This window comes from Homo sapiens, chromosome 4, assembly GCF_000001405.40.
Source record: "Homo sapiens chromosome 4, GRCh38.p14 Primary Assembly".
Classification (NCBI taxonomy): Eukaryota; Metazoa; Chordata; class Mammalia; order Primates; family Hominidae; genus Homo; species Homo sapiens.
The window spans coordinates 95,089,722-95,104,404 of NC_000004.12; the positions used below are offsets into that span (position 1 = coordinate 95,089,722).

General features: G+C 32.0%; 1 protein-coding gene across 12 annotated transcripts in view; it reads left to right on the forward strand.

Moving 5' to 3' along the window:
• The window catches only part of BMPR1B (bone morphogenetic protein receptor type 1B), a 400,496-nt gene that overhangs the window by 331,767 nt on the left and 54,046 nt on the right, over positions 1-14,683 (forward strand). The window contains exon 1 of one of the 12 annotated variants that reach the window (NM_001256794.1): positions 1,770-1,906. The exons of 10 other annotated variants lie outside the window; for them this stretch is intronic. The gene's annotated coding sequence lies outside the window, so the exon portion shown is untranslated. Of the gene's footprint in view, positions 1-1,769; positions 1,907-11,223; positions 13,797-14,683 lie in introns of those variants that run through there. One more of the 12 variants, XM_047416095.1, reaches the window with a different exon arrangement.

Below are 14,683 nucleotides of genomic sequence, written 5' to 3' on the forward strand. Positions count from 1 at the left end.
CTTAGTGTTTCTGCCCAGAATTCAACAAGATTGTCCTTTGGCAGTCTTCTTCCTACAAATCAAAGCAAAGTAGATGGTGGTTCAGTATTTCAGCCTATTAAGTATAATTTCAAGAAAAAAGATTTATCATAAATTATCAAAACTCTATGAACTCTAGACTTACATATATCCAGGTTCCAATTCAACTGTCTTATTTTACTTTGGATATAGACTAATGGTAGAATTAGGGGAATACTAGTAAAACATCTTACAGCACACTTCTTGAATACCATTCTTCTTTCATTCGGCCTCAGGGTGTTACTCGGAAATTGAAATGCAGTATTCTAACCCAGGTGTTTGAATACAAGGGAAAACTATAAGGTTTGTCAAATTCTGTTGAGAGAGAATGTTCTCATGTACACAGGAATTTTTGTTGACCCTATTGATTTTAATACATATCCTATGCATATTTTTTTCTAACAAAATTTTTAATATACTTTTTGGCTAGTAGGGAATTAGTATATAAACAGCAATAAAAAATAACTTAAAATGTTTAACATGTTCTTTAATATATATATTTAAATTATAGTTACATTTTATAAAAATTATATTTACATTTTGAATTGATATATTTTCTTCATTTCAGCTCTTTTTGTAAAGGAATTTTTTGGTTTGTTTTTAACCATCTGCTGTTAGGCAAAGGTATCTGTTTTTTGGATAAGATTTCAGGTCATTTGTTTAAAGTGGCACAGATACTAGCTTGGAGGAACATGATTTTATGTTTATCTATAGTATAAAAGGAAATAGAGTGAACCTTTGGTGTGAGTGAACAATCAGCAGACCTTTTATGACAAAAGAACAACAACAAAATTGACAACTTTTATGCCACACTCTCCAAATAGATTTTAAGGTTCATGAACATAGTGGCCATTTCTTCTTCAACTCTTTGAGCCCAAAGTGCTTACAGCACTTTGAAATATTTGTGTATGGTAAATATTTCTTAATATTTGTGTATGACAAATATCTCTTAAATCAATATGGACTAGTTAGAGGCTTTAACTTGACTCTAATAAATATTTCATTCTGTTTTAACCATATATGATGAATAGGATAGCTGTGTCTCAAATATAAATTTTATATCAAATTTTTAATGAATCAAGTCAAATGATATGGTAGATTTAATAAAAAGATAGAAATAATGGTATTCATTTGGTCTTCAGTTTTCCAAACATTTTGAAATTTTCCAAATTTTAAAAGGAATTTGACATTTAGTAAAGGTAAACCTCTTTAATGAAAGATTTCTAAATGTTTGTGTAGTTGATTGGTTTGTGAAATTGAGATTCTCTTAAGATAAACTTAAGACATTGCATATTGAAATAGCATTCTGAATGTCAAAGGATATTATAAAGATAGATTTCTAGATATTTAAATGATGAATTCTAGATATTTTTCTGCCTTGCATAGACGCAGAGGTAGCTTTTAACCATCTGGAAATGTTACATAACACACTGTGGTCAGTGACATTTTTTTCATTCTTTTTCCTTTTTCTTTTCTTTCTTTTTTTCTTTTCTTTTTTTTTTGTTTTGTTTTGTTTTGTTTTGTTTTTGACTCCTAGGTTTCTTTTCTTTTTTACCTTTCCACTGTCATATGCCATGGGTCCTGAACATAGCTCATTGCTTGACCGGAATAATGTCTCTTGCCAGCTTATAATCAAAGGGACTACTGAGAAAAACAGCTGAGCTGTATTAGGCAACCACAGTCTGGGCTGCATTTCTTAACTGCTGAATAACATATCACAGGTGCAGGATTAGTGCTGCCTACGGTGCTGGGCTTTTTAGTGGAAACCCCTAGCAATTCTGTGCCTCCTCCTCATGTCTCTCATCCTAGGGAGCCTGGCAACCATATATCAAGCGTACAGAAATCAAAAGTGAGTAGTGGGAGAAGCTTTATATCTCACAGAGACTGTTTTTTTTTTCCCTCCAAAAAATGTAAGCAAGATGAGTAAAGCCAATTCTGGCACAATAAAAGCTGTTAGAACTTAGCCTTTTTTGGCATAGATGGTGAAATAGACTAATTCAAGGGGATCAAAAATTTTGTCTAAAAAAATTACATGGCAAGAAAATACCATGTAGCCGAACTCTTCTGGTAGTGTATAATTTAGCTTACTTTTAAATTAATGATGTTCTTATATGTATTATTTTAACTTTTGTGTTATGTGTGAGTGCGTGTTTGCCCCTACACATTTTCAACACTGTCAAGGTTAAAATCAAGTGTTGTGGTTGTATAAAGGTCTTGTGGTTAAATTTTTTATAGTTTTTGATGTTGTGAATTCTTTTACTATTAATGTATCAACTATACACTTCTAAATTCATAGGTTATAAAGGTCTAGGTTTCTTTCTTGCAAGTATGAGTTTTAAAAAATGCAAAATGATTCTTTAAAGTATAAATGTAATGATTTAGATGTTAGATCAAATGAATGTTTCAAAAATATAGTTGCTAAGATATTTATTTTTTACCAGGAAGGATATAAATTGTTTTGGCATGATAAAGTGTACATTTGGAGAAGTGAGGGCAAGTATATTTTAGTAATTCATATCATTTTTGGTAGCTATCTTAGAAAATTTTTCTGTGACGCACAACAGATAAGTGTAAAAGCACATGGGTGGCACTGCAGATTTTAAACAGTTTTCTTTGGTTTACAGTTTGTTCTCTTAAAACTATGATGGCTTTCTAATGTTTACATTGCATTCTTATTCATTTTATTCCTGGTGATCATTATTCCATATTGTTTCACCAGAGATAGACCTTTAAACTCATTGGTGATGATAATAGTTGATAATAGTGTTTAGCTTGAAATATATATACTATATTTTATACCTCAAATATTTAAATATTTGAACTAGCAATATATTTGAATATTTTAAAGTCAGTAATAGCTAAGGTTACCTTTAACAGTTTTCCTATTAGAGGGTATGGTAAGGATTAGGAGCAGAGAGGTTCTAAATGTTTTCCAGGTTTTTTCTTTGGGGAAAAAGAATAGCACAAACACGGTGATTTGGTTTCTGGTTTGTCTGACTTCATTGTCACTTCCCTTTACATATATGCATCTATAAAATAGTTTTATACACTAGGCTGTCTTGGGAGTGCTTTGCAAAGCTGCAGAGTAATTTTTGGTGTGGAGGCAAGTTGAACATCTACTTTGATTAGCTTCGGAACTCTGTGAAGCAGAGCATTCATAGAAACTGCTGAATAAAACCATAGCTCCTGGCTTGGAAATCTGCCAAGTTCTAGTTGACTCTGACATTATTGTCAAAGAGACCACGGTTCAGTTTCTTTTCTAACAATGTGGAGCTGAATTGACACATTAAATATTTTAAAATACAAAGTCATTTTTAATTTTTAATCATTCTATCGGCTGAGATTATGCTATTTTGTGACAGTGGCTTCAGTTTGATGTTGCATATTTTTAAATCATGGTTACTTGCTTGTCAAGTTAATTTTGTTCTTATATTGTTGCTTTTATTAAAAATACTTATAAACAAGTTGTGTTTTAGAGATTTTTCAAAGGTTTTTAATTTATATAAACATTTTGATTGAGTTTCTCTAAATTCAAAAGCAGAGTAAAACCTAAGGGAAAGGCTAGCTATTGTTTTAAATTTAAAGAGTGTAATTATGATGTCCAAAGAATTTTTATTACTATCATAATTACTATTCCTGCTGAGGTTTATAATTCTATGTCTGCTGAGGTTTATAATTCTATGTCAATTACCTGGAAAACAAATGAATATAAATGTTTGTGTTGTCTGTTGACTTGTATGTCATATTTACTCTTCTTATGATTTTTTTATGTCATAGTCTGGTGTTGTCTGTTGACTTGTATGTCATATTTACTCTTCTTATGTTTTTTTATGTCATAGTCTGGTATCACATAAAATGTTTGAGTGATTGAAGCTTTTATAGGTCTCTTGGCAGGGTTTTTCTGATGTGAAAATGTTGAAAACATGATTATCCATCATAACCCGGGTGATGTGTAATGTCGATGTGTGAGTATGGTGAAAAGAGAAACAATGTCAGTGAATAGAAACACTCACAAATATTTTATGAAGCCCTGGTTTCTAGAAAGAGCCAGCAGTTATATTTAAAATTAGTGTGTCTCTTAACCTACTCATTAGTGTTGACCATGAGTGGCTGAAATTAAAAACTGGCAATATCCCTGGTTTTGGTGGTTATGGTTTCCATAAAAGATACTGGTTGATTACTGCCACACACAAAGTAATCTTCCCTCTTATGCACTCCTGTCTAGGACTTAATTTGGCAATTATGTGGCATTGTGACATCTCTTTTATTGTTTTCCTATATGTATTTCGGCTTTCCATATGTAGTTGATTTGTCTCACAGTGTTCCACGTGTAGCTGATTTGTCTTACAAGCAAGATTGTTATTTTATTGAGGACACCGTCAAGTACTCTGGGTCATTGTGTTATGTAAATGGATTTAATGATTATTTGCTAAATGAATCAATGTACCAAGAGATGAAAGAAAATAAGAATATTTTAGTCATCCTTGAACAAACTTTCAGTATGTTTCTTAAGCTGAAAACCTTATATTTTTATAGACTCTTTGCTCACCGTGATTAATCTAGAAAGGAAGGAAAAGTAAAAGGCAGTAAAATGAAGCAAAAGAAAGAGGAATTGAGGAAGAGGAGAGCCAGGAAGGGGAAAAGATAATAGGGGAGAAAAGGAAAGGAAGACAAATAGAAACGGGAGATAAAGGAGTAGGGAAAAGGAAGAGAAAACTGAATAATAGTAAGAGTCAGCAGCACATAAAACAACAATTTATTATTATTGACAATTACTATGTGCAAAGAACCATAGTTGATGCTTTATGTGGATTTCTCCTCCACCCCACTGCAACCAGTGAGTACTGCTACTCTCCACGTCTTCTATAAGGAAGTTAGTTAAGTCACTTGCTAAGCCATTTAAGTAGCTGAGCTCGAGTTTGAACCCATTTGTCTATTTTACCCTACATCGTCATCAAGTCTAGCTCCACTGCTCAGTGACCATACCTGATATTGCTTTGTCATCTGACATTTCACTCCTGCATAGCATGTCCAGAAATTTAGCACCAACATCTTCCCTTATCTTTTATCTGATTTCTGTCTGTTGAAGGAGAAAGATTCCTGTGTAGGTAACATCACAGTTAATATTAGAAAATCTGTTCTTTCCCTACATATGATTTTGCTCTGGTATTTTTTAATAAAAATTGTATTTATATTTTGTTACTTTCCAGAAAAGTTTAGGCATATGTCCCAACTTTTTATTAATTATTTAGTGTATATATATATAATTTTTTTTTCCTAAATTTTTTGCTGCAAAGAGCATAGAAAATGATTTATTTGAAAGTACTTTAGTATAAGGAAAAATGGTTAGGTGATGAAAATGAAACTCAGGCCTTTAGAGTTGAAAAATTTAGACAGTGAATTGAGTTAAATGATTCAAGGTTTAAGTGTTGAAAATAAAAATTAGCGATTAAACTATCTGATGTCACAAAGTTATTTTAAAAATTAATATTGTTTTAAAGCTCTAATCAGAGTTTTATTCCTGTGTGAAATAGACTCTTAAAAAAACTGTGAGTATTTAAACTAGTTTTGGTTAAGAAAGAAAATGGGCATTGATTTGCATTATTTGTTATCATAACGGTACAAATAGCTGTAGGATGGGTCATTCCCAAAGTTGTTGCTAGCCAGTTCAGTACTTTAAAATTTTTCTTCCACTAACCTCTTTACCCTGGACATTTAAAGTGCAAACTTGTGTAATATGAATTTCAATTTCTCTTCTTGCCCCTGCCTGCCCTCTGGTGTAGAAGGTGAAGAACAGTGATGAGAATCAACATTTGGTTAAGTTTTGTGATATTCAAAGAGTTTAAAAATGAAAAAGATAAAGGAAGATAGATTATTAGTAGACCTTGTATGACACAAAATGATTATATGTCACTTTTTAATGAATTTTAAAGTCTCATATCCATTTCTAAGTGCATTACATATTGAATTTAATATTACTTGAATTTTCTCTACTGTTCATACAGATTTTTCTCTCTGCATTTAAATGTGGCAGTGGATTTTGATACCCTTTTGACTATGACATAAAACAGTCCTTTATATCACAAATTAAAAATTTTTTATTTATGATATTTTTGAACTCATAAGAATATTACTAAAACTAAATACAGTTAAAACACACTTTAGGATGTAATGGATTAATTTTGAAGATAAAATTTAATTTTTGTAACATTGTACTCTTGATATGTAATAGTATGAAATTTTTTTTACATTTTACTTTTGTTCTGCATTTTGTTTTTTCTGCAAAAATCACGTATATGAGTATATAATAATATAAAATAATATAGAAATATTTTTAAAATAAGGAACTGATTAAGTTATATACATTAAAGAAGTTATTTTACAGTGTTTATATGAGGCTTCCAGCTCATTATTGTCCACTGTTTTCAATTAAATACTTTAAAGAAATTATAACTCTACCTTATTTCCTACTACAAGAGATTCCATAGAAAACATGTACATAGCTAAAAACATGTATATAACTGCAATATATTTTCCAGAAAAGATATTCAGGATATTCAAGAAAAATAACTTCCTTTTTAGTCCTTGTAATTGAATGGAAGTCACAATATTGCATTCTGATAGTTAGGTAATTTCATGAAATTTGATTGATTTGCCTGAAAAATCTGTAAATCTATTTCTAAAGAAATATTCTTAATATTCTATTTTTGTATTATTCCTTATAAGAATCATAAGGAATATAATTTAGTCGTGATTCAGTAACACACAAACATCCTGTGAAAATAATTCTATTGTTTATTTGCACGCCAAAAATCCAACGATCCTCTGAAAAATGAGAACCAATTTTAGAGTGGCTTCCAAAAGCCTTACTTTTTATTATCATGATAATTTAGTTAGTAAACTAAACTATATATATAACTATATAATTATATAGAGGCATATATAACTATATATAGTTATATATAACTATATATAGTTATATATAACTATGTATAGTTATATATAACTATATATCTATATATAGAATATATAAATATAAATATATTTATATTTATATATAAATATATAGGTATATAAATATATAACTATAGTTATATATATATTTAATTTAAACATATATATTCAATTAAATTTAAATATATATTAAATCAAATTAAATATATGTAACTAAAGTTATATAACTTTATTATATATAGTTATATAGTTTAATATATAGTATATGATATAAATTGTATATTATATATAGTTTATATAATATAGTTATATACATAACTGTATATAGTTATATATTTACATATAGTTATATATATTTACATATAGTTATATATAAAACTATAATTTATATATTAATTTATATATAACTAATATATATGTAACTATACGTCACAAGCTAAGTGAACCACACATGTGTAGTGTCTGGATTTACACTGTTTTAAAGATCAGTTATTAGAGAAAGAGGGAAGAAGAGAGAAGAGAGGGGAGGGAGGGACAAAGGAATAAAAGAAAAAAATGGCAAAATGGAATGGGCTCTTAACGAGTGACTTATTTGATATAGTATTTATTCCTGAGAAATTTCCTGAAAGGGTAATTTTTCTCTGTTTTTTTCTTTATATTTTCTGTCAGGTTTATTCATGATTCTGTTTTTAAATATTTATTGAAAGCCTATAATTATTTAAAATGCATTTGGGAAGAAATAATCAATTTTGTTGACATTTGCTTTACAATTAACTAGAAACTATTCACTATTTGACTTTCTTTCTTTCTTTCTTTTTTTTGTTGAGACAGAGTCTCGATCTGTCGCCAGGCTGGAGTGCAGTGGTGTGATCTCAGCTCACTGCAACCTCCACCTCCTGGGTTCAAGTGATTCTCCTGCCTCAGCCTCCCAAGTAGCTGGGACTACAGGCATGTGCCACCATGCCCAGCTAATTTTTGTATTTTTAGTAGAGACAGGGTCTCACCATGTTGGCCAGGATGGTCTCCATCTCTTGACCTCATGATCCGACCTCCTCAACCTCCTAAAGTGCTGGGATTACAAGTGTAAGCCACCGCGCCCAGCCTGACTTTCTTTGGTGAAAAACTTTTTTGTAGATTTTACTCTATTGATTTAGTAAACAGAATGTACTAAATTACATTTAATTTTTTTAATGGTTAGATACCTTCCAGTTGTTTTCAAGGGTTATCATTTTTTATAAAACTAAAACAAAATCAAGTAAAATGAGGATTTCATTAATAAATATTTATATGAGTCAACTAAATGTATCTTTTATCTCTTTTGATGGCTGCCTAGTATATTAGGATACTAATATAATAAAATGTGAGAAAGTACATTCTTATATGTTATTTTAATCAGATATCTGATATTTGGGATATATCTTCATTATTGCTAATCCACTGGATGTTTGTTAGTCATCTTGATGTTTACATTTATTATGAATACATGTCATTTGTCTTTTCTTCTATTTATTATTTCAGCATCATAATTACCAGGCAAATTCATATTTTCATAAAATGATTATTTCTATATATGCATGTAATTACCTTTTTAATGTCATAGCTGATATGTTCTGTCTTGTTTATGATCCAGAATGCCTGACTTGTGTCTGTGAGGCTGGATTTTGTACAACTTCAGTATGACTTGATATTAAAGTGATCCTTGTATAAATACCTTTGCATAATTATAAAGTTAGATAAAACAGTGCAGTTTCTCATTGGCCCTTTTCTCAAATGTGGAGTACACATGAAGATCTTTTTTTTTGTGGCTTTTATTTTTACTTATTTATTTATTTTTATTATACTTTAAGTTTTAGGGTACATGTGCATCTTACCATCTTTCTTTTTCATGGTTTTCTTAGCGTTTAAGGTGAGTCTCCCCAGGTTCATTCTGCTGCTGCTTCTCTTCCGCCTTGCCTTATATCTGTTAACTTACACATTATCAAGTATTTATTTATTTATTTTTGAGACAGAGTCTCATTCTGTCACCCAGGCTGGAGTGCAGTGGCGCGATCTGGGCTCACTGCAAGCTCCACCTCCCAGGTTCACACCATTCTCCTGCCTCAGACTCCCGAGTAGCTGGGACTACAGGTGCCCGCTACCATGCCCGACTAATTTTTTGTATTTTTAGTAGAGACGTGGTTTCACCGTGTTAGCCAGGATGGTCTGCATCCCCTGACCTCGTGATCTGCCTGCCTCAGCCTCCCAAAGCGCTGGGATTACAGGCATTAGCCACCGCACCCGGCCATCAATTATTTTAAAGTTATCAGGTGATTGGAAATATTGTGACTTGTGCAGATTGTAGATTATAGAATGTAGATTTACCAACAATTTAAGCACACGTGTAAACATAACACATGAAAACATGGTGAGCCATCAGTGGATTTAGTGTTAACTACCAAGCCGTAGTCATTGATCCAGAGGGGAATACCATCATGAAGATTAGCTAGAGAAGTTCCTTCTTGGCTCGATTCTCTTTTGGTGTCCCATTCCTTCATTGTTCATTGATGTGCTTTATTCCACATCAGGATATGTGACTAATTACTTCCTTATATTGAATGGACAAGGAATTTGTAAATGCATTTAAATAGCTCCAACTATTATCTGTCCTAATTTGCTACTCCATAGATCCATGCAGATATAGAAACAGGAATGTAGAAAGAGGAATTATGGCCCCTTTGAAAGTAGATTGTAAAAATTTGATAATATAAAATTCAGTATTCCCTGACAGAGATAATCACATTTTTCTAAAAGATGCAGGATTTTCATGTATTTCATCAGTGCTTATATGGTGATGTGAATCCTTCTATACATCTCTCTCTGTTTCACGCGCGCACACGCACACACACGCACACACACGTTACAGTAGGTTTGCTTTTACATAGTTGAAAGAGATTTATTTATTATTTTTTAACAAACATCCTCCCAAATTCTCCTTTCCGCGTAGCAACTACACCTATACCTCTTTTCGTTGTTTTGGCATTTTCATCTGTATCTCTAAATAAATAACTGTACTACTCTTTCTTTATTATTCAATTTTAGGCATTACCTTTGACTTTCCACTATCAAAGATGAGGATTTAGTTATTTTTTCTCATCCCTGCTCCTACTACATACGTACATATTCCCATCTCTCGTCTGTATAAGAGTTTAAATATTTGGTTACTTAGTCCCCTGTGTTCTCATTACAAATGCGTTTCCAAACTCCCAGTTTAAATTTAAAATACATAAGTCGTTTTATTAATTTCAACATCTTAGAGTTCTCTCTTCCAACATCTTTTGACCTGCCTTCAATGAGGCCTGCTTGCTCCTGAAGTCCTATGCAATGTCTCATCTTATTATCCACATTTAGCATTATCTTGGAGGTAAGCTTCGTCTTCTCTTGGGATGGATCTACCATTAGCAGGTACCTATTCCATCTTTTTTCTTGTTTATACCTTCATTTGGAAGGAATATCTCCTCCAATAACTTTCTGAGAAAGATACATGGGAGGTAAATTTTTGAGACTCAGAAAATATTAAAATGCTTTTTTTCCCCTGCCCTCACTCTTAATTTGCCCAGGTATTTATTTCTGATTTGGAAAATTTTTCCCTCAGACTTTTGAAGGCATTGTTCTATTTTATTCTAGTTTCTAGTTTTTCTCAACAAAGTTCAATGCCATACTTATTTTTTATGTCTTTTCTCTTTCTCTCCCTCACTTTTCCTCTCTATAAAAAAAATTAGGGTGTCTGTTTGTCTACAGTGTTACAAAATTTTACAGTGATGTGGTGTGGATCTATTCACATGGGCTATATGGGTTCTTTCAAATTAGGAACTCATGAGTTTTCATTATGAAAATTGTGCATGATTATTTGATGATTTTCTTTCCTCTGTTTTCTCAAGTCTCTCTTTCTAGAGCTAATATTATTCAGATGTTAAATCTGGATTCATGCTCTAAGTTACTTTTCCATCTTTGTATTTTGTACTGTGTTGTAGATTTCCTAATCTTTATCTTTCAGCTCACCTGCTGGGATTTTCATTTATGCAATTATATTTTTAAAGTTCTTTACTTGTTATTCTCTTTTTATAGCAACGTGTTCTTGTTTCATGATATAATGTATTTTTGTAAGATGAGAGTATTAATAATAATTTTTTAAAGTCTTTACTTTCTTTAATATAATCTACTTCTTCCAAGTAGTGTTTGTTTTATTCTCAGTCTTTGAGGTTTTTTCAAATACCTATTTACCCTAAATTAGTGGCTCATGTGTATGAGAATGGATCACAGAAGAACTGACTGGAAGCTCTGTTGTCACCAGTGGGCCTCATGTAGGATAACATTGCAGAGCTGTTTCACTGAGAAACTCACAAGATTACTATCTTTATGCTCTTTATTCTTGACCTGGTCAAATTACCCAGTAAAGAAGGCGCGTACCAGGCTGCATTGAGTTCTGGAAGCCATGTGGGGAAGGTGAACTGGAGGAGGCAACATCCAGTGTGAATGTTCACTGAATGTTTGCAGTAAGATGGTACTCCTGCCCTCTTCTGTGCTTGGTGTCCTACAGTCCTTGGCCTTGATGGTAAAATAGAAAAGTAAAGAAGGCATCTCAGTGATATGTGTGTTGCTTTTACCCTTCTAATCTCCTGCAGGGGTAGGAAAGAATACTGCTAGCGTGTAGGGAATAGGAAAGGATATCTGAAGTTCTAATTACTGTATGTATATTTTCAGCCTCATGCTATTTTAATATCCCCTTCCCCCTTTTAGAAGTACTTTTAGAAGTACCTTTGATACCGTTTCTGGAGCCTTTTTGGTGTTAAGCAGTAAAGCTTTGCTTCTTAGCTTTCCCCCCACATTTGGCTTAAAAATCAGCTTTTGTAGCTTTATTATCAATTCAATATATCAGAATTTACTCTCTAATTATTAACTCTAATATTTCATTAGATTATTCAAAATTTATACAAGATGTGCATCTAACTTTCTCCTACAGTTTCCTGTAAATTTTGTCCAGAAAAAAAAATGTTGATTGCAGTGGGCACCTGTGGCATATGAGAAGATTGTCATATGCAGAATCCGACCTTGAGCCACAGCAATTTTGATCCTGTAGACAAGTGACTGCCTGTCTTTCTGCTTTTCAGGCTTTTATTTTAGTGTCTCCTCCCTTGATCTCATATTGTAGGCTCATTTTCTTAGCCCCTTTTTCTCTTATTATAGTGGGATTTAATAACTAGAATACCCTGTAAGTAAAACCAAAAATTATACTATAACATTTTTTCTTGTCAGTAAATATACTTCTGCATCAGCATTTTAATGGCTATATAGGAATCCCATTTTACAAATATACCTAATCCTCTAGTGTTGTAAATATGAGTTGTTATAAGCAATATTGTGAAGAACCAAATTTTATACCACTTCTTCTAGACAAATTTTATACCACTCTTTAAATAAATTCACAATGTGACAAAATCATGAATTGTCTCTTAAAATGTTTCTTAGAAAATAGCATCTTACTTCCAATCACATGAGGATATTTTCTTTTCTACTTTAGACCATTTGGTGTCAGTGTTCCATTTAACAGCTTTTCCCACCAGCTGGTAAATTCTGTGTGTGTTTAATTCATCCTAGTTAAACAGGCTGTGCCTGGAAAATGGGAGGGCACCCAATACATATTTGGTAGTAGACATTTGCATCATAAATGAATTTTTATTATTGTGTTTTAAAGCATCAAAAATAAAGGGTCTGGTATGAAAGGAAGCAGGAAGTAATAAATTTTAAATACTCTATTTTTATTACTTGGTCTACTGAGGTGACTCAGGTCATAAAGGCAGTAACATTGAGAACCAGGTTTAGAAAGAAGGAGCTTACCATGACAGGGTGAGATATAGGTACACCTACACACTCTACCCTGGCATAGCAAGCGGTGCTGCACTCCCATGTGGACAAACTTGGAACAAATGGCTTTCAAGATAAGGCAGTGACGTGAACTATTTAACCTCACTTTATTTGGGAATTTAACCTAAGGACGAGCATACTATATAGAAATAATACATGTATTGGGAGTAATTGTGTGGTTGGATTACATATTATTTGCTTAATCTAGGGTTTTTCTAAGTGGAGTCTACAAGTAATTTGTTTCAGAATTACATGAGATCTTGTTGAATATGCACATTTCCTGGCTCGCCTCTGACCTACAGAATCAAAATCACTGTGGCTGGGGTGGGATTCTGCATACGACAATCTTCTCATATGCCACAGGTGCCCACTGCAATCAACATTTTTTTTTTCTGGACAAAATTTACAGGAAACTGTTTGAGAAAGTTAGATGCACATCTTTTATAAATTTGAATAATCTAATGAAATATTATAGTTAATAGAGAGAAAATTCTGATATATTGACAACATATTTTATTGCTTTTTCTTTCAACTATTTTTTTCTGTAAGAATTTGAATAATTCGTTATACATGCAGAAGGTCAGGAAAAATTATCACAGATTAAAAAAAATAGACTTCTAATTCTCTGATGGAACCATTACCTGCAGGCCTTCATTTTTGGTTTAAAAATATAACAAATATGTGGCATATCTTATACTTCTGACCTAAAATTTCAATTTTTTAACCCAGCAATTTTTTAATATTTTTGTTGATCTTAGATTTCACTATAGATAAGCTAAATGTGTTATGAGAGAGATTTTAAATTGAAAACTGCTCACGGTGACAATTTATGCAGTTACATGGCATGTATAAGAGCTCTTACCACAACGCCTGAAACAAAATAGGTAATAATTAATGCATGCCCTCTTCTGTGTAACATAAACATTCTAAGCTCTTGACATGAGGTTTGGTGTCTATAATTATCTCCATTTTAAGGATAAGAACATGAGTCACAAGATTATTTATAAAGTTATCTAAGGACAACTAACTTGGTAAATAGTAAAGCCTAATGTTGAACCCAGAATATCTCTTTCTAAGAGATCATGTCTACCATGGTGCCTTCTATCAAAGATGGTAGAAATATCACTACAGTAATAGGTAGGCATTTTGCATTTCCCCATGCTGATGGGGAAGATGTATCTTTTGAAATGTGTCTTGATATTAACTAAGTTTTTGTCTTCTTACCCAATTTTACAGATTAAATATTTCTCATAATTTCTTTAAAAAGAAGTACATAATATACATAATAGTACCTAAAGTAGAGAGACTCTGTGATATGGTAGATAGACAGTTTTAAAGCTGAAACAATTTGAGTTTAAATGCTGGGTCTATAGTCTATCCATTATCTGTGTGCAGATCTCTTAAACTTTGAGTCTTAATTTTCTCATCTGAGAAATGAGGATGATAGTGTTTACCCATGGAATTACCAGATATAGTAGAGGTTGTCTATATAATGTCTCATTGAGCTCCTTGCACTGTATTAAATATAGCTGTTACAATTTAATACATAAAATATCCTCCTGAAAGGATTATGGGTCTTTCTTTATTCTGTATGAGGTGTATACTAGGTAAAAGACATGATTTTAATCAAAATACCAAAATGTCTGTTTTTCTGTTTAAATCTTTAAGTATCTTGAATACTTCATTTTAAAATGTAATCTCATGTTTTCGTTTGAACAGAAGACTGGGGTAGTCTACCCCACAGATGCCTAACTCTCACTATTTCTTCTTT